This window comes from Homo sapiens, chromosome 13, assembly GCF_000001405.40.
Source record: "Homo sapiens chromosome 13, GRCh38.p14 Primary Assembly".
Lineage (NCBI taxonomy): Eukaryota > Metazoa > Chordata > Mammalia > Primates > Hominidae > Homo > Homo sapiens.
Window position 1 is genome coordinate 100,552,590 of NC_000013.11, and position 21,258 is coordinate 100,573,847.

The 21,258-nt window shown below is 44.1% G+C and overlaps 1 protein-coding gene across 2 annotated transcripts in view; it reads right to left on the reverse strand.

Annotated features, from left to right (window-relative positions):
• The window catches only part of GGACT (gamma-glutamylamine cyclotransferase), a 58,610-nt gene that overhangs the window by 22,410 nt on the left and 14,942 nt on the right, over positions 1–21,258 (reverse strand). The window lies entirely within an intron of this gene.

Consider the following 21,258-nt stretch of genomic DNA (forward strand, 5'->3'; position numbering starts at 1 on the left):
TTTCCAACTTTAAAAACCAAAGCTAGATGTAAAGGTTTTCTAAGGCCAGGAGTGCCTGCCAGCCACTTAATGTTTCTGTTAAGATCATCTGCCCAGTGCTCAGGACGTCCAGGCTGGCTGACAGGCCATTCATTCATTCACTCATTCAGGAGGTACTGAGCATCTAGGACGGGCCAGGCATCCAAAGACAGAAAAAGCAACAGTCCTTGTTCGTAAAAAGCTGCAGCCTGGTGGGGTGGCAGAGATGCTGAGTGCTGCTGATGAGAGGACACTCTAGAGTGGGGACAATGAGTCCCGCATCAGGACCAGGTGTCAAGTGTCCTGCAGGAGAGGGCGACCCAGGCAAGCAGTAGAGCCTCTGGGGATACCCAGGAGCAGGCAGGCCAGGTGGCGGGTGGCTGGGGAGGGGAGGGGGACCTGAGCAGAGGGGACGGTGGGCTGTTGGGGGAACAGAAAGCATGCCAGCAGGCAGGGCGAGGCAGGGCCCGGGCCTCCAAGGGCCTTCCATGGTATCTTATGGAGTCAGATTTCGGCTTCTGTGTGATGAGAGCCGTTCGAGGGCACTACGCCTGGGAGGTGCATGGCAAGATCTGGGTTTTAAAATATTGTGCAGTGAATCCCCAGGGAAGACTGCGTGGCAGTTTTAGGAAAGCTGAGCCTGTGTGTCCCCAAGGACCGGCAATTCCACTCCCAGGCAGATGCAGGCAAAAATGTGAATGCAGGTTCACCAAAATGGCAAGAATGGGAATGTGCTGGTCAGCACCAGGTGTCATATCCCCAAAGCAGACACAACTGAAATGTCCACCAACAGTCAAATGGGCCAGTCAACTGTGGTATACCTGGGATACTCTATGGCAACAAGAATGAATAGGGGCAGCAACACGATGGCATTCACCATGAGCAGCACCACCTGAGAGCGGCCAGACAAGGGCACACACTGCAGGACAAGTTTACCTGAAGGTAAAGAAGTAGCAGGCCGGGCATGGTGGCTCACGCCTGTAATCCTGGCACTTTGGGAGGCTTAGCCAGCTGGATCATGAGGTCAGGAGTTCGGGACCAGCCTGGCCAATAATGTGAAAGCTCATCTCTACTAAAAATACAAAAATTAGCTAGGCGTGGTGGTGTGCACCTGTAGTCCCAGCTACTTGGGAAGTTGAGGCAGAAGAATCGCTTGCACCAGTGAAGCAGAGGTTGCAGTGAGCCAAGATCGCGCCACTGCACTCCAGCGGGGGTGACGAAGCGAGACTCCATCTCAAAAAAAAAAAAAAAAAGGTAGTAACAGCCAAAATGAACCTCTGTGCCAGGGGCCAGGTACACAGTGTGTCCACAGGAATCTTGCACTCTTCTAACGTATGGTATACTTTCATAAAATGTACACTAAGCCTTAAAAACAAAGATTAACAGTAGAGGACAGATTTTTCAAGGGCCAGAGCTACACAAAGGAAACACAATGAACAAAGATACATAATTAATTACTACATATAGTTAGTACTACACATAATTAAGTGGAATTCAGAGGTGATGGAGATCAAAGGCTTCATGGACATTGCCTGGCCTGAACTGGACACAGAAACCAGATATTTCCCAGGTCTTGAGATGGACAGTTGCCCACCCTTCCTTTATGTTCCCCCAGGGGATGAAAGCCAAGGTACATTTCTCAGGGGTTCAGAAAGTTCCAAGTCATCATTTAGTCCTCTCAGATTGAAAAAACTCCTATTGCAGAAAAGTTAAATGATACCAACTAGAAGCAGACAGATCCAGAATGTGAGGCATTTTAGGGGAGAAATGATTATAAGACAGTTTATTGCATTAGAAAAAGTGAGGGTGATTTCCCTTACATTAACGATTTCAGGTACAGCCATGGGTAAATGTACAGACCTTGTTTGGATTCTGATTTGAAGATATGACCTATACACAATGACATTTTTGAGACACTTAGGAAAATCTTACAGGTAAATCTAGGTAATAAGAGTCTACCAAGGAATCACGATTAATATTTTAAGGTATGGTAATGGCATTGTGGTCCTGTAAGAAAATATCCTTATTTTTTCAGAGACGCATATGGAAGTATCTAGCATTTGAAAATATCACGTCTGGAACATACTTTAAAATATGTCAGCATATCAAAGAAAAGAGGGAATTGATAAGGCATGTGTGCAAAGGCTCGATAGTTATTGAAACTGGGTGATGGATATATGAGAATCATTGTACTGCTCTATTACTTTTATAGGTAAACGAGAGAGAGAGAAAAGAAATCATCAGTATAAGAAATCAAGGAGGGAACATCACTATAAAACAAACGTTAAAAGGATAATAAGGGAACATAATGAACAACATTATACCAATAAATTCTACAACTTAACTGAAATGGAAAAATTCCTCAAAAGGTCTCAAGTATCAAAGCTCACTCAAGAAGAAGTAGATAACCTGCAAAGCCCTGTATCTACTCACAGTTAAAAACCCTTGCCCAGAGGCAGATGGCTTCATTGGTGAAATCTATTGAACACTTAAGGAAGAAATAATACCAATGTTTTCCAATAAATACCAAACAATTTTCCAGAAAATCAAAGAGGGAGGAGCACTTCTCAACTCCTTTTATGAAGCCAGTAGTACCTGATACCAAATCAAAGACATTGGTAGAAAAGAAAATTACAGCCAGGCATGGTAACTCATGCCTGTAATCCCAGCACTTTGGGAGGCCAAAGCAGGTGGACTGCTGGAGTCCAGGAGTTTCAGACCAGCCTGGGCAACACAGCAAAACCCTGTCTGTACAAAAAATACAAAAAATTAGGTGGGCATGGTGGTGCATGCCTGTAGTCAGTCTCAGCTACTTGGGAGGCTGAGGTGGTAGGATCACCTGAGCCCAGGAGGTCGAGGCTGCAGTGAGCTGTGATTGTGCCATTGTACTCCAGCCTGCGTGACAGAGTGAGACCCCATCTCAGGTTTTTTTTAAAAAGAAAAAAATCTGGGTATGGTGGCTCACACCTGTAATCCTAGCACTTTGGGAGACAGAGGCAGGAGGATCATCTGCCAGCAGTTAAAGACCAGCCCGGGCAAGAGAGAGAGACGCTGTCTCAAAAAATAAAAAAAGAAAAAGAAAAGAAAAAATTACAGGCCACTGTCCATCATAAACATAAATGTAAGAGTCTTGAACAAATACTAACAAAATTCAACAATATGTTAAAAGGATAATACATCATTACTAATGTTTCATCCTAGGAATGCAACGTAGTTTAATATTTAAAAATCAGTCAATGAATTGCCATGCCATAGAAACAGATTAAAATGGAAAAACCACATGACGATCTCAATAAATACAGGGTAAGCACTTGATAAAATTCAGCAAATTTGAGATAAAAATTCCTAGCAAACTGGAAATCAAAGAGGACATCCTCGATCTACTAAAAAGGTTAAGTCTCTGAAAAACCTATGGCTAACATCCTTCTCTTTGTAGTGAATAATCAAGTACTTTCCCTTGAGACTGGATGCAAGGCAAGGACGTCCACTCTTCCTACTTCTAAATCCTCGAGGTTCTAGCCAGGCTAATAAAGGAAGAAAAAGAAATAAAAGGCATACACTTCAGAAAGAAAGAAAACTATCTTTTTTGCAGTTAACATAACTGTCAGTACAGAAAATCCTAAGAAAATCTACCAAAAGGTTACTAGAACTAATGAGGTTAGCAAGGTTTTAGGATATAAGGCCAATATACAAAAATCAATTGTATTTGTATATTCTAACAGGGGAAAACTGGAACTTGAAATTTAAAAATCCATTATCATTTATAGTATCACCAAAAAATCTGAAATACTTAGGGTCCAATTGTTTGAACAAAATATGTGCAAGACCTGTGCACTGAAAATTCCAAACACTGATGAGAGAATTTTAGTATCTAAATAAATGGAGAGATATACCATGTTTTGATGGATAATTTTCACAGTAAAAATGTTAATTCTCCCCAAATTGAGGTAGACATTCAACACAATCTTAATGAAAATCCCAGGGGTTTTTTTTTTGTAGAAATTGATGAGCTAATTCTAAAATTTATATAAAAGGTAACTTAAAGAGTGTAACTGGATTGTTTATAACTCAAAGGATAAATGCTTGAGGGCATGGATAACCCATTCTCCATGATGTGCGTATTTCATATTGCATGCTTGTATCAAAGCATCTCATGTAACCCATAAATATACACATCTAATATGTACCCACAAAAATTAAAAAATAAAACTTATATAAACATTTGAAGGATCTAGAATAGCCAAAACAACACTGAAAAAGCTGAACAAAGTTTCTCTTTTTTTTGAGGTGGAGTCTTGCTCTGTTGCCCAGGCTGGAGTGCAGTGATGCAATCTTGGCTCACTGCAATCTTGGCTCACTGCAACCTCCACCTCCCAGGTTCAAGCGATTCTCATGCCTCAGCCTCCCAAGCAGCTGGGACTACAAGCATACACCACCACGCCTGGTAATGTTTTTCTATTTTTAGTAGAGATGGGGTTTTGCCATGTTGGCCAGACTGGTCTCAAACTCCTAGCCTTAAGTGATCTGCCAGACTTGGCCTCCTAAAGTGCTGGGATTACAGGCTTTAGCCACCATGCCCAGCCCGAAGTTTCTATTTCAATACTTAACTACAAAGTTACAATAAACAAGACAGTGTGGAATTAGAGAAAAGATATGCATTAAGGTTGATGGAACATTCTTTTTGAGATAACGTGATATGGAATTAGTGGTGCGGGCTGCACAACTTTGTGAATATACTAAGACCCACTTACTTGTATACTTTAAAGTGGTGACTTTTATGTTGTGTGAATTACTTCAATTAAAAAACAAAAACTAGTTAAAAAAATCAATGGTACAGAACAGAGTCCAGAAGTAGACCCCTACTTGTAGGGTCAACTGTTTTCAATAAAGATGCCAAAGTAATTCAATGGGGAATCTATAGACTTTTAAACAATGGTGCTGGAACAACTGCATATCCATATGCAAAAAAAATAGATTTTTAAAAACCTCTTATCTCACTCCCTATACACTAATTAACTCAAAATGTATCCAAATATAAGAGTTAAACTTTCTAGAAATCTTTTGATAGGACACAAAAAGCACAAATAATAAAAGAAAACATGAATAAGTTTTGACTTCAGAATTTAAAACACCTACTCTCAAAAGACTCGGGTGAGTAAATGAAAAGGCAAATGTAGACAGAGAAAATATCTACAAAATAGCTATCTGATAAAGGACTGTTATCCAGAATATACAAAGAACTCTCACACCTCAAGAAGAAGAAAAACAATCCAATTAAAAGTAGGCAAAACAAAGGCTGGGCACGGTGGCTCATACCTGTAATCCCAGCACTTTGGGAGGCCGAGGCGGGCGGATCACCTGTCGGGAGTTTGAGACCAGCCTGACCAACATGGAGAAACCCAGTCTCTACTAGAAATACAAAATTAGCCGGATATGGTGGCACATGCCTGTAATCCCAGCTACTCTCGAGGCTGAGGCAGGAGAATCACTTGAACCCAGGAGGCGGAGGTTGCAGTGAGCTGAGATTGTGCCACTGCGCTCCAGCCTGGGCAAGAGGAACGAAAAACTCCATCTCAAAAAAAAAAAAAAAAAAAGTGGGCAAAACAGCCAGGTGCTGCAGTCCTCTTTGGGAGGCTGAGGCAGGAGGACTGCTTGAGCCCAGGAGTTAGAGACCAGCCTGGGAAACACAGCAAGACTACCTCTCCAAAAAAACCAAAACCAAACAAACAAAATGTGCAAAAGATTTAAACTGACACTTTACCAAAGACCTATGAATCTCATGTAAGCACATGAACAGATGGATGCTCACTATCATTAGTTATTAGGGAAATGCAAATAAAAACCACAAAGAGATACCATTAGAGTGGCTAACATTGAAGACTATTAATACCAAGTGTTGGCAAGATGTAGAGTAACTGAAATGCTCATACATTGCTTCTGGGAATTCAAAATGGTACAGCAACTCTGGAAAGCAGTTTGACAGTGTCTTTAAAGTTAAACATACATTTACCATACAACCCAGCAATTTCACTTTGGGGAATAGACCCAAGATAAATGAACTCATATATCCACATAAAGACCTGTACATGACTGGAGGATGCTATGTGAAATGAAATAAGCCAGGCGTAGAAAGACAGATACTGCATGTTCCTGCTCACATATGGAATCTGAAAAACCTGACCTCCTAGGAGCAGAATGGTGGTTATCAGAGGCTGAGGTAGCTAGGGGGAGAGGGGATGGAGAGAGGTTGGTCAGAGAGCACACATTCACAGTTAGATGAGAGGAGTTAAAAAAATAAAAGAAAAATCTCCAGAATAGGCAAACATACAGAAACAAAAACAAGTAATTGCCTGGAATTGGGGTGTAGGGGTGGTGGGTGTGGAGGATGGAGGAGGAGAGAAATAGGGAATGACCACTAATGGTTATGGAGTTTCTTTAATGGATGATGAAAGTGTTCTAAACCCACCACGGTGATCCATTTTATGAGTCAGAGCACAGCTCTGATGATGGTAAATGCAGCTCTGCACAACATCCCAAAAAACCACTGGACTATACATTTTATTTTACTTATTAATTTATTCATTCATTAATTCATTTTTGAGACGGAGTCTCATCTGTTGCCCAGGCTGGAGTGCAATGACACAATCTTGGCTCACTGCAACCTCCGCCTCCCTGGCTCAAGCGATTCTCCTGCCTCAGCCTCTCGAGTAGCTGGGATTACAGGCATGTGCCACCATGTCCAGCTAATTTTTGTATTTTTAGTAGAATAGGGTTTCACCATGTTGCCCAGGCTGGTCTTCATCTCCTGACCTCAGGTGATCTACCCCCCTCGGCCTCCCAATGTGCTGGGATTACAGGCGTGAGCCACCGTGCCCGACCTGTACATTTTATTTTTATTTATTTTTGAGACAGAGTCTTGCTCGGTCGCCGAGGCTGGGGTGCAGTGGCAACATCTCGGCTCACTGCAACCTCTGCCTCCTGGGTTCAAGCAATTCTCCTGCCTCAGCCTCCTGAGTAGCTGGAATTACAGGTGTGTGCCACCACACCTGGCTAATTTTTGTATTTTTAGTAGAGATGGGGTTTCACCATGTTGGCCAGGCTGGTCTCCAACTCCTGACCTCAAGTGATCCACCTGCCTTGGCCTCCCAAACTGCTGGGATTACAGGCATGAGATACCACAGCCGGCTGATAGGAAAGTCTTAAAAAAAGAAATCTAGCTGTTAAAAAGATTTTGTGTTACATGTAATTCAGTTATGTATACCAGTTTAACAGCCAATAACTAGAAAGAACCCAAATGTCCATCAACTTGAGAATGCTTAAACAAACTGAGGTGTACAGATACAATAACATGCATAAATCTCAAACACATGAGCTGAGTCAAAGAAGCCAGACGCCAAAGACTACATCCCGTATGATTCCATTAGATCCGGGTAGATCCAGGAAAAGCCAAGCCATGGGGGCAGAGCAGAGGCTGCAAAGGGCTGTTACTGGGGAGGGAGACTGACTGCAAAGAGGCCGCAGGAAGCTTTTGGGGAGATGGACAGGCCTGTATCTTGAATGCGGTCGTGATTACATGAGTATATATATTTATCAAGATTCGTTGACCCTTTAAAAAAACGCACTGAACTTTAAACAGTAAGTGAGTAAATTTTGTCTGTAAATCAAAAAAGCTGAATTATTTTGGGGAGAAGCCCTTCCTCAACAGCAGCATCTGAACAAAGTCCTTTGATCCCCCAGGATCTGACTCGCTTTTCTGCAGCGTGTTGCTGCTCCATAAACATTAAGCCTTTTCTTCTTTGCCACACAGGCCCGTCTGTTCCTCTCTCCTATTTGAGTGAATATGGCTAGAAGTCTCTTCATATTCTCCCTTCTTAGCCCTTTACCCAGGAGCTTAACTCAAGTCTACTTCCAGGGCCAACAGGGAATGGACAGGGAGTGAGCATCCGTGGGAGCTGTGTGGCCCTCCCAGGCCCTGAGGGCTGCGCTGGGAACGTGCCCTGTGGGCTTGTATCCATTGCTTTCACTGGGGCCACTCCTGGCTGAGGAGGGTTGCAGCTTTGCAGCTCTGCTGTCACTGAGCTCCACGCGATCCCTTTAGCCTCCCCAGGTTTTATTCTGGACATTTCCATTCCCTCACATAATCTAGCTTTGTTTTTCTGACTCTTGGCCAAGGTTTTTGGTGTCAGTGTGTTCCTAGGACATGGTGTCCTAAAGTACAACGGAGTGATTTTCTAAAGAACCAGGACACATGCTCTAGCAAGACGGATGTGTGGGGCAAAATATGGGTCAGAATCTTTGCAATTGTGAACATCTCTGACAGCCCAGGCTGCGCACCCCGCATCTCCTCCAGGGCCTGGGATAGTGGGCTGGTGGGCTGTCATTTCATCACAAGCACGCCTCCTAGACCACTCATCCACACAGCCCAGGAACACGTGCCTCTTCCCCCGGCTCCTGACTACATTCATGGTGAAGCTTGTGGCTACGCCCTCCTAAGTCTCATCAAGCAGCAATACCCCCGCCCCGGGCATTTTAACCTCTCCATTTCAGTATTTCCAGCTCCATTGCTATTATTTTACCAATGATTATCTACAAGCTTTCCTTGAACGTTGTGTTATATTTCATTTTGGTTATCATTTTCTGGTATAAGCAACACTTCCATATTAGGAACAGCCCCAGAGAGCTGCTTACATCTGACTTGGTAATGGTGGTGAACTGTATGGTATGTGAATTATTTCTCAATAAAGCATTAAAATAATGCAATTCTGTATAGATCCATAGCAAACAAAAATAACACTGAAATGGTTTCTATCATAAAGTTAATAGTTGATGGATGAAGATGGTAAGCCCTGCCTCCTGCCTCTTCACCCCGATTTTGAGCTATCTTAATGCAGTGTCTTCCCACAGAAGGCTTTCCTGGACATGTGGCCTTGTCTTACCTGGGGCTATTAACACCAGGATGAGATTCTGAAATGTGCAGTGCTGGCTAAACACCCAGCAAGTGGTACTGGTTCCCTTCTCAGATCAAGAGAATGCTATCTTCAGAAGATGTGTGCAGCAGACATTCCTGTACTTAGAAGAACCCAGCAGTGGGAGGGCCCGGGATGCCCTTCACACCTCCAACCCAGGACCCTGGAGGGGCAGAGGTGCTGCTCAGTGGGGGGCTGGGGCTCACGACCTTGGCAAATGACTGAACCTCTCATCCTGGATCTCCTTCTCTGTCCAGTGAGACCCTGGCACTTCCCAGAGTGGGGGAGTGGGATCCCCTGGGAGTATACAAGTGCCCAGCATGGGTGGGTTCAAGCAATGACAGTTGTTTTGAATGAAATAAAACAAATAGGAAATCATTAACTCTGCTCAAAGGTCATGCGGCAGAGTCTGCATGCCCCGGAGGAGGCTGTGCCCAACAGTGGGTTCGAAAGGACCAGATTCCAGGCAGCTCCTGGGTGACTCACTTTGCCTCACTGGGGTTTAGGTGCCTCTAAATAGGGACAGAAACTCTTACCTTGCCTACCTCGCAAGCTTCAACCTAAAGCTCAAATTACTGGAAGTACACAGAAGTTGTGAAATTTTATTCTTCTATAAAACGGCAAGCCCCTGTCCACTGCCTGTGTGGACCCCGACAGAAACTACCCTAGATATTCTCTACAACTAAGCTCGGTGAAGGGCTAAGACTTGATTTCCATTTTCATAAATACACCTTAGTTTTGCACAGAAAAAAAAATTTTTCCTTGCACAAACACCATTTTCTTCAAACCTGGCACCAGCAAGGATCATGCCTGGCACCTCACGCAGTACCTGTGATTCACCAAATATACTTCACCCACCTTCACAGCACTCAGAGGACACTGGGACAGACAGCACAGGCAACTCACCCAAAGTCACACCACTGGTAAGAGAGGCACATGAGGCCAGGTGTGGTGGCTCACGCCTGTAATTCCAACACTTTGGGAGGCCAAGGCAGGCAGATCACCTGAGGTCACGAGTTTGAGACCAGCCCAGCCAACATAGTAAAACCCCGTCTCTACTAAAAATACAAAAATTAGCCAGGCATGGTGGTGCATGCCGGTAATCCCAGCTACTTGGGAGGCTGAGGCACGAGAATCACTTGAACCCAGGAGGCGGAGGTTGCAGTGAGCTGAGATCACGCGACTGCACTCCAGCCTGGGCAACACAGCGAGACAATGTCTCAAAAAAAAAAAAAGAAAAAAAAGAAAAGAAAAAAGAAAAGGCACAGCCTTAAACTTGGGTGGTTTCTTGACTCCAGAGTTCAAACTCCTAACAACCCCAAAAAAAGAGCTCCCGTTCCCCTGCCTGGGCCCCCACTGCCATGTGCTAAAAAAGAAAGCAAGTCAAAGCGTTACTTGCCTTGAATTGCAAGCAGACTCCACACAATCTTACTTATATAAATCAAGCCAAGCAGAGGCTTCCAGAGAAACCAACCCTGCCGGCCCCTGATCTTGGACTTCTGAACCACTAGAACTGTGAGAAAGTTCTGTTGTTGAAGCCACCCGGTCTGTGGCACTTGGTTGTAGCAACCCTAGTGAATGAATGCACTGATGGATGCTGCCCCACGATCAATCTGCAAATATTATCCTCACTCAGAGGGGCCAGACACATGGGGCACATGTGACATGCATCCACTGATCCAGAACACCCAGCACGGGTAAAGCCACAGTGACAGGTAGGGGGATGGGGGCTGCCAGGGGCTCGGGATGGAAGAATGGGAGGGATGCTTAGTGTGGAAGAGGTTTCTTTCTTTTGGGGTGAGGAAAATGTTCTGGAACTAGACAGAAGTTGTAATCACATAACATTATGTACTAAATAATCATGGAATCCTTCACTTTTAAATGGTTTTCTGTTCTGTGAATTTTATCTCAATAAAAAAACCTCTAAATTAAAAGTAAATAAATCTTTTAAAGTGGTCCAAGCTGGGCATGGTGGCACATGCTTGTAGTCCTGGCTACTCGGGAGGCCAAGGTAGGAGGATCACTTGAGCCTAGGAGTTTGAGTCCAGCCTGAGCAACACAGTTAAGACCCTGTCTTTACATTAATTAATTAAACTAAACTTTAAAAGATGATACAGATAAAATCTACTATTAGAATATGATGTGTGGAATGCCACAGTGAAGGGTTTGTTCAGCATGTCATAAGGAACAGGAAAGAGAAGAATGAATTTTGTGTGGGTGACTTGGATGCAGCCCCCAACAGGTTGGGCACTGCCCCTGGAGGAGGGTAAAAACCATGCTGGAAAGAGGGGAAAGGAGGAGGTGGGTGCCTTCCAGGCAAGGAGCGTGAGCCCAGGCGTGTGCAGGGAACAGAGATTTGGAACCCCTGGGGGCCTGTGGGCTACTGGGAACCAAAAGACAGGGACTGGGTGGAGGGAAGCCTGGGGCAGTCTCGGTGCCTGTGGCCACCCTGGGCTGGACCTGCGGCTGGGGCTCCCCACGCCTGTTGAGTTCCCAAAATGCATGTGAAGCTTCAACGCTGATGTTCTAGGTCCCTCGCAAGAGAGTTGGATTTAGTAATTTAGGAGCTGGGGGCAGGAATCTACATTTCAAATAAAATACAGTATTTTTCAAAGCTCTCCAGGCGATTCTGGTGATTACCCTTTGGGAAAATCATTGATTGTGGGAAGGGTCTATCTGTTTTACAGTGATGCTCTCGAACTACTAACTTTTAGATTAAAGAGGATTCATGATGCTCTGTATACTTTAAAAACAGAGAAGGGGCACTCCTTCATTTTCACAGGTTTTCCTAAAAAAGACTTACATTCAACCTTCACCTACATGGCAAGTTCAAAGAACCAGAAGAGCTAATTTTCCAAGTATTAAAGATTGAAGATTTGTATAAACATCTTTTTTAAAAAAATTATCCAAGTTATACAAAAAGGAAAACAAAATATGTGAAAATGAAGATAATACAAAAAGCCTTAGAATAACTAACAGGTAGCCCTTCCAAGTTTAGTACACATTCACCCTTTAAATTTCTTATCATTCTATTTAACTACGAGACTGTTGCCTAAATAACGCTGAGTACACATTTTCTAAGAGCATTATGTTTTTACTTTCATGATTCAAGGTCGACCGAAGTACAAATATTAAGCCACAGGAATGGCCATTTGAAAAGTGTGGAAATAAATTACATTTTTTACTTTCAACACCTGGTGTCACCAGCATCATGCAGTACCCAGCTCTGAGTGCTCTATGCCCCGGGCAGGGGGCGGGGGGGCTGGGCCTGAACCCAGCAGAAGCCAGGCCTTTATGGGGGAGGGAAGCCCAAGGCCCAGGTCACCCTTCCAGAAACAGCATTTTAACCACACTCCAGACCGCTACTATTCCCAGGGAACATACAGGTTTAAAGGGAGGTTGTGATGTTTGTTTTTAACTTCAAGCACAATGATGCAAGGAAAAGCCTGTTGTGATACAGACCTGGTATGCTCTCCCTGTAGTATTTCACAGGGGATGGCCGCCGCCTCCTTCCCAATCTTTGACCTTGTTCCCACTGCGTATGTGGCTCTACTCTAAGAATTCACGGTTCGTCTTGTTTAGAGCGGCTTGGTGAGATGAAAAATCTAAAATCTCAGGGAAAACTTCATTCTTTAAAATAATTTGTGCTCAGATCAGAGTTCAAAAAACTGGGAGATTTCAAAAGGAAAGACACAATCCTTTAACCATCATGCTGAAAGATCAGAGTGTCAAAAGGGATTAGTTGGTATTTTAAAGCCTGGTCCAGTCAACCTACCTGACAACGTTAACAGCTTTCATTTGCACATCTGACTCCTGACAGTCAAGGCAAAGTAGTGCTTACGAGACGTAACTGAAAAAATAACAGCCCTGATATTTCACAACTTTAAAACGTGGTGCTGGTGACACCAGGTGTTTGAAACGAGGTCGCTGCCTTGTAGCTTTCACAGCAAAAGGATTCTGCAAAAGCATCTCTGCAGAAGCTGGTTTCTAACCACTCAGGTTAACCCCCCTTTCCTCCCCAGCTGCTTGAGCAGTGTTTTACGTTGATGATGACGCCCATTTCTTCTTCCCCACTCAATTCTGTCCTCTGTGATCCTCTCCCAAATAGTTTCACTGCTGCTCCCCCTCAGAGCTAGAGTGATACCTCCAACATGCATGCCTGGATGTGCCCCTGCCTGTCCAGCTGTGGGGACTTCTGTGTGGCAAGCAGACTCTCACATGGCACCCACCAAGCCCATGCCTGGCATCCCTGTCCCTGTGTGATTCCTGCCCCTCCAAGCATGGGTTTAGTGACTGACAGCCAACAAACACAATCCAGAGGAAGTGATGGGATTCAGTTATAAAAAGACTGCGGCTTCTGTCCTGGGAGCTCTCTGCCGCTCTCAGATCCCCTACTGTGAAGGAAGCCAGCTGCCATGCTATGAGCATTTCCATGGAGATGCCACGTAGAGAAGAAGTGAGGTCTCCACCAACAGTCAGAAAGGACCAAGGCATGCCAGCTGTCAGGGAAGTGAGCTCCAGGTCTCCCCAAGTCAAGCCTGGAGAAGGCCACAGTGCAGCCAGCACCTGAGTGCAGCCTGTGACAGACCCAAGTCAGAATCACACAGCTAAGCCACTCTTAGATCCTGAGCCACAGAAACTGTGGGATAATTTTTGTTGTTTTCAGTCACTAATTTTGGGGGTGATTTGTTCCTCAGCAGTGGATAAGTCCAGAGGGCCAATCCAAATGTCTTCACGTGCTCACAAAGGCCAGTTGCCGCTCAGCCATGCCTCACACTGCCTGTGGTACTTTCTTTGCTTTCTCGGTTGCTACTGCCTTTCAGGCCCTTCACACTCTTCACTCCTCAGCACTCTGCCTGGCAAAATCCTCCTTGTGCTTCCAGGTTACTTCAAACACCATCCTTCTGGTACCATGTCTCTCACCGTGAGCCCTAGAGGCAGAACTGACCCTGGGACACTGCTGCCCTTTGCCCCTGGCCTTGCGGCTGCCGAGGTCCCCTTTACCAGATCCCTGGGGGCCCGGGCACCAGCAACTCATGCTCCTCGGCTCTCAGCCCTGGTAACTGGGTGGGTAGGTATTTAAGAAGTGTCTGCTCAGGGAGTAAACCACTGGTTAGTTGCCAACCTGATGCCCTTTATCCCTGAACACAGTCATGTCTGTTTCCCACAAAGACATCTGATCTCACTACACTACAACCTGTGACATCAGGGCATCAGCATTTGTGACTAAGTTTACCACCTTCTCGCAGACAGTTTGAACTTTTTCCAACTGTCCTGATAACGTGCTTTACAGCAAAAGGGCCCAGTGCACAATCCCAATTGCATGTAGCTATGTCCTTTAGCCTCCTTCCATCTGGAACAATTCCTGCCTGTCTTTGGCATTCACGATCCTTTAAAGATTGCAGGCCATTGATTTGGTTGAATGTCCCTGAATTTGGTTTTGTCTGATGCTGTCTCCTGATTAGATTCGGATGGTATATCTTGAGCAGGAATCTTTCCGAAATGATGCTATGTTCTTCTCACTGCCTCCTATCAGACACCATATGATTTCAACTTGCTCCATTATTGATGACATTCACTCTGATCACTTAAGGTGGTGACTGCCAGGCTTCTCCACAGAGAAGTTACTCTTTTGCCCTTTATAGTTAAGCATTTTATGAAGAGGGATTTTGAAACCATGCAACATCTCATTCACCATCAAACCTGCCACTTGTTCATTTATTTATTTGTATCTACATGGACTTATGGTTTCCTATTATATTCAATGCTATCATTATTTCTTTTGATGCTTACATTGTCCCCTTTTGGACAGATGGGGTGAATTCCAGCAAGCTTCTCTGTCCCCTTGGCCCATCTTCCTCATTATTCCATTGCTTTCTGGTTCAAGATGTTCCAGGCTCATCTTAGACTTTCCCTGTCCCAGCCCTGGCATCAGCCCTCTCTCCAAGGAGCTCTTGTTCTCTTGTAGCAAATGGTATTTAGATGCCAAGATCTGGGTGCAGGGTGTGCTGTCTTTGGGCTGCATCTGTCCACAACCCCTGCGCCAGCAGAATATATGCCTGTATCCACATATAAACATACACACACGCACACTTACATTCACTTCTTTACACCTTTACATCTATGTTCACTTCTATATCTGTCTACACTTATTGAAAACCATGAATTCACACAAACACACACAACCCAAAGCATATCACAGGATTCATTCCAGTTTTCTGCATTTCTGTATTAATAACTCTCTTCTTTGACACTGGGAAACCTGGCTCCCACTAGCCTGAATGCAGTTATGTATCTGACTGATCCTTCTATGTGTTAACTAATTTCTAATCTCAGGTACCACCATCTTCCCTCACAAGACAAAAAAGGCTGGTGGAGCTCTAGCCATAATGTCACATTCAAAGGAGGTGGCATGAGGCAGGGCAGGTGAAGAACCAGGGCCCTACTTCCAATTGAATCGGGTTCCTTTTCAAAACCTCCCTGGAAGCCCCACACATTTCTGCTTACCTCTCATTCACCATAACTAGGCACATGGGTCACTGAATAAAACAGGACCAGTAATTAAGAAAGAAGAGAATGGATATTTGGTTGCAATCAGCAATTTCTACCAATCCCACTTTTTATATTTATTGGCCAACATCCTGCTGTCAGGGGTTACTGAAGACCTTGTATTAGTCTGTTCTCATGCTGCTAATAAAGACACCCAAGACTGGGTAATTTATAAAAGAAAGAGGTTTAATTGATTTACATTCAGCATAGCTGAGGAGGCCTCAGGAAACTTACAACCATGGCAGAAGGGGAACCAAACATGTCCTTCTTCACAAGGCAGTGGCATCAAGGAGAAGAATGAGTGCCCAGTGAAGGGGCAAGCCCCTTATAAAAGCATCAGATTTTGTGAGAACTAACTCACTATCACGAGAACAGGATAGGAGAAACCATCCCCCATGATTCAATTATCTCCACCAGGTGCCTCCCATGACACGTCAGGATTATGGGAACTACAATTCAAGATGAGATTTGGAACTACAATTTAAGATGAGCCAAACCATAACATCCCACTGCTGGCCCCTCCCAAATCATATGTCTTCACAATTCAAAACACAATCATGCCCTCCCAACAGTCCCTCAGTCTTAACTCATTCCAGCGTTAGCTCAAAAGTGAAGTCCAAAGTCTCATCTGATACAAAGCAAGTCCCCTCTGCCCATGAGCCCACAAAATCAAAATCAAGTTAGTTACTTCTTACATACAATGAAGGTACAGCCATTGGATAAATAAACCCATTCCAAATGGGATAAATTGGCCAAAACAAAGGGGCTACAGGCCCCATGCAAGTCTGAAATCCAATAGGGCAATCATTAAATCTTAAAGTTCCAAAATGATCTCCTTTGACTCCATGTTTCACATCCAGGGCATGCTGATGCAAGAGGTGGGCTCTCATGGCCTTGGGCAGCTCCGCCCCTATGGCTTTGCAGGGTACAGCCTCCCTCCCAGCTGCCTTCACAGACTGGCATTGAGTGTCTGCTGCTTTTCCAGGTGCACGGTGCAAGCCATTGGTGGTTCCACCACTCTGGAGTGTGAAGGACCCTTTTCCCACAGCTCTACTAGGCAGTGCCCCAGTGGGGACTCTGTGTGGGGGCTTCAACCCCAAATTTCCCTTCTGCACTGCCCTAGCAGAGGTTCTCTATGAGGGCTCTGCCCCTGCAGCATCGTTCTGCCTGGACATCCAGGTGCCTCTGTACATCCTCTGAAATCTAGGCAGAGGTTCCCAAACCTCAATTCTTGACCGCTATGTACCCACAGGCCCAACACCACGTGTAAGCTGCCAAGGCTTGGGGCTTGTACTCTCTGAAGCAATGGCCTGACCTTTACACTGGACCCTTTTAGCCACAGCTGGAGCTGCAGCAACTGGGAGGCAGGGGGGCACCATGTCCCGAGGCTGCATAGCGCATGTGGGCCCTGGGCCTAGCCCACAAAAGCATTTTTCCCTCCTAGGTCTCCAGGCCTGTGATGGGAGGGGCTGCTGAGAATGTCTCTGATATGCCCTGGAGACATTTTCGCCACTGTCTTGGTGATTAACATTTGGCTCTTTGTTACTTATGCAAATTTCTGCAGTGGGCTTGAATTTCTCCCCAGAAAATAAGTTTTTCTTTTCTATCACATTGTCAGGCTGCACATTTTCCAAACTTTTATGGTCTGCTTCCTCTTGAATGCTTTGCTGCTTAGAAACTTCTACCACCAGATACCCTAAATCACCTCTCTCAAGTTCAAAGTTCCACAGATCTCTAGGGCAGGGGCAAAATGCCGCCAGTCTCTTTGATAAAGCGTAACAAGAGTGACTTTTGCTCCAGTTCCCAACAAGTTCCTCGTTTCCATCTGAGACCACCTCAGCCTGGACTTTATTGTCCATGCTGCTATCAGCATTTTGGACAAAGTCATTCAACAAGTCTCTAGGAAGTTCCACACTTTCCCACACCTTCCTGTCTTCTGAGCCCTCCAAGTCTCTAAGAAGTTCCAAACTTTCCCACATTTTACTGTCTTCTTCTGAGCCCTCCAAATTGCTCCAGCCTCTGCCTGTTACCCAGTTCCAAAGTGGTTTCCACATTTTTGGGTATCCTTATAGCAGCACCCCACTCTCTGTGGTACAAATTTACTGTATTAGTCCATTCTCATACTGCTAATAAAGACATACCTGAGACTGGGTAATTTATAAAAGGAAGAGGTTTAATCGACTCGTGTTCAGCATAGCTGAGGAGGCCTCAGGAATCTTATAATCATGGCGGAAGGGGAAGCAAACATGTCCTTTTTCACATGGTGGCATCAAGGAAAATGAGTGCCCCATGAAGGGGGAAGCCCCTTATAAAACCATCAGATCTCATGAGAACTCACTATCACAAGAACAGGATGGGGGGGAACCGCTGCCATGATTCAGTTATGTCCACCTGCCCTCCCACAACATGTGGGGATTATGGGAACTACAATTCAAGATGAGATTTGGGTGGAGACACAGCCAAATTATATCAGACCTCAAATGAATCTCTGGAAGCAGTCTGGGTCCTTACCCATCCTCTAGGTTTATAAAATCCCAAGGAATGTCTCCTTCTGCCATGATTATAAGCTTCCTGAGGCCTCATCATCCATTCTGAACATGAGTCAATTAAACCTCTTTCCTTTATAAATTACCCAGTCTCAGGTATGTCTTTATTAGCAGTATGAGAAAAGACTAATACAGTAAATTTGTACCACAGAGACTGGGGTGCTGCTATAAGGATACCCAAAAACGTGGAATCTTAGGCTTAAATGCCTGCTCAGATGATGTATCGCTACTTATTTGCTCATCTAATAATTCCATATGTAAGAAAATGTTGTGATTGGCCTCCCCGAGAGATTGCTCAGTCTCCAAGAAAACGACCCCCTATGAGGACAGTTTATAGCCCTTGAGCTGTGTGAAAACACAGTGCCAGAATGGATCAAAGCTCCAGCCCAAAACACCATGGCATTAAAGAGACAGGGAAGCAGAGAGCAGTGACAACAGTCCTAGCTCTCTGCCAATCCAAAGGAAAGAAGGGAAAAAAGGGAAGATAACAGTGTCGAGGAGGATAACCTCAGATACATGGGAACTGGCACATGAGAAGCACACTTTTGTAAGTAGGGAGATTTATTTTGCAAAATCCCCCAGCAGGCAAGCCTTGGCAATACATTTCAGATGAACTCATCCAAACTGATGCTGTGTCTTCGCAAGGAAAATTGAAAAGACTGTATTTAATGCAAAGATATTACAGTTTTTCTAATGATCATATAGAAGTGCCATTCTTTGATATTGCTCTAATATCCTTCAGAACACAGATGTGTATGCTGTGCAGCAGAAGAAAGTGTGGTGTAGACAGAGAACATACTTTCTTTTTTTAGTTTTAATTTTAATTTTTGTAGAGACGGGGTCTCATTTGGCCAGGCTGGTTTCAAGCTTCTAGCCTCAAGCAATCCTGCCACTTCAGCCTCCCCAAGTGCTAGGATTATAGGCATGAGCCACTGCACGCGGCCCAGAGGACACACTTTACAACTAGATGTACTTCATTTCAAAGTCATGTAAAACCCTGCCGTGTTTCAGCTGTGTGACCTTGTTCAGGGTGTTTCATCTCTGTGAACCTCAGTTCCAATTCCCTACAAATGGGGATAATAATGCCCACCTCAAACATTGATGTATGGAGATAATGTATGTATATATACATTCTGGCCCACACATGATCTCAATAATTCTTACTCCCTCTGAGAGAAGGATAAATCACAGAACTACAAGGACTAAATAGAATATATCACAGATATAATAATGCCTTGCATATATCTTGTATCCAATAAGTCTTAACCTTTTTTAACTTACTCAAACATACAAAAAGCCATACACTAGTTATCTGGTATGGTTGACTGGTGTTCTTTATTATGAAATTTAACCTTTTGTGTGCAGGAAAAACCTGTATAAGCCCTTCTCTGCATTGGTCTGCACAGTATACTAAAAATGACATAGCTCATGCACGTTCCCAGCATCAGCCAAGGGTTGGACGCAACCCAAGTGTCCACTGACAGAGGAAGGAATAAACAAAATGTGGGGTATACACACAATGGAATATTACAGAGCCTTGAAAAGACTGAAAGGAAGGAAATTCTGACCCATCCTACAACAAGGATAAGCCTTGAGAACACTATGCGAAGCAAAATAAGCCAGTCCACAAAAAGACAAATGCTGTAAGATTCCACTTTTATGACATACCTAGAGTAGTCAAATTCATACAGACAGGAAACAGAATGGTGATTACCAGGAGCTGGGGGACGGGGAAAATGGGGAGTTGTTTAATGGATATAGAATTTTAGTTTTAAAAGATGAAAATGTTCTCAAGGTTGGTTGCACAACAATGTGAATATACTTAATACTACTGAACTGTACACTTAAAAATGGTTAAGATGGTAAAATTTATGTGTTAATGTTTAAAACATTTATTTATTTTTGTAGACAGGGTCTTGCTATGTTGCCCAGGCTGGGGTGCAGTGGCTATTCACAGGTGTGATCATAGTGCACTGCAGCCTCAAACTCCTTGCCTCAAGGTATCCTCCTGCCTCAGCCTCCAGAGTAGCTGGGACTACAGGCGTGCACCACCACACCAGGATAAAAAACATTTTTCAGATGATGTAAGCTTTTCATAAGAATGCAGAGTCCTCAAACTGATTAATGATGAACTGTGCTGCAGGTACATTTATGCATTTTGCTGCCCAGAGCTGTAGCTGTATCTAGCTTCAGGGTGTACTCTAGAACTTGCTTTCCTGAACGAATATCTGGGGTTTCTTAGGATACAGCTGCTAAAGGAAAAAAATAGAACTTGACATCTTTTGCTATATAATGGCATCTTTTATTAATACCCTTGGAGAAGCATAGGGTATTAAGGCTGGAAAAAGTTTAGAAAGTACATTTTAAAGTTGAATATGAAATCTACACTTCAATCCAACTAAAAGATTTTTCTAAGACCATATAGGTAGCAATCACAAGAAGAGTGGGAGAGAAGCGGCATCTTCCCAGTTTCCTCTACAATCCTCTTGACACCCACAGTCCACTGGACTTAGCTCTCCACAAGTCCTTACCTTTGAACGTCACTGTTTACTACACTGCCACCAGGGGGCAGCAGCTATATTAGTCTGGTATTCTAAACACCCTGGACTAAGGCCCAATACTCTTCCATTACCCCTTCCCCCATCCCATGAAATATGTGCATATATGTGCATATATGTGACTTCATTGAAACAATCTCAATAAGCCAGAAGTTTAAAAGAGACCCATATATAACTTTTTAAACAAAACAAAGACTTGAGTCCAATGGATGTAACACCCTTACTAATCCTTTACTATTTCTGATTTATTCCAATCCCAACAGATGTAATGGTCAATTAATATGTTAGGTTCTTTATTTGTTTGTTTTGAGAGATGGGGTCTCAGTATGTTTCCTAGGCTGGTCTCAAACTCCTGGGCTCAAGCAATCCACACGCCTCAGCCTCCTAAAATGCTAGGATTACAGGTGAGGGCCACTGTGCTTGGCCTAATATGTTAGTTTTAAAACAAAAACTACTCGAACACAGGATCAACAAGCAAAAAACAAATAAACCCATTAAAAATGGGCAAAGGACATGAACAGACACTTCTGAAAAGAAGACACACAAGTGGCCAACAAACATACCCAAAAAAGCTCATCTTCACTAATCAGAGAAATGAAAATCAAAACCACAATGAGATAC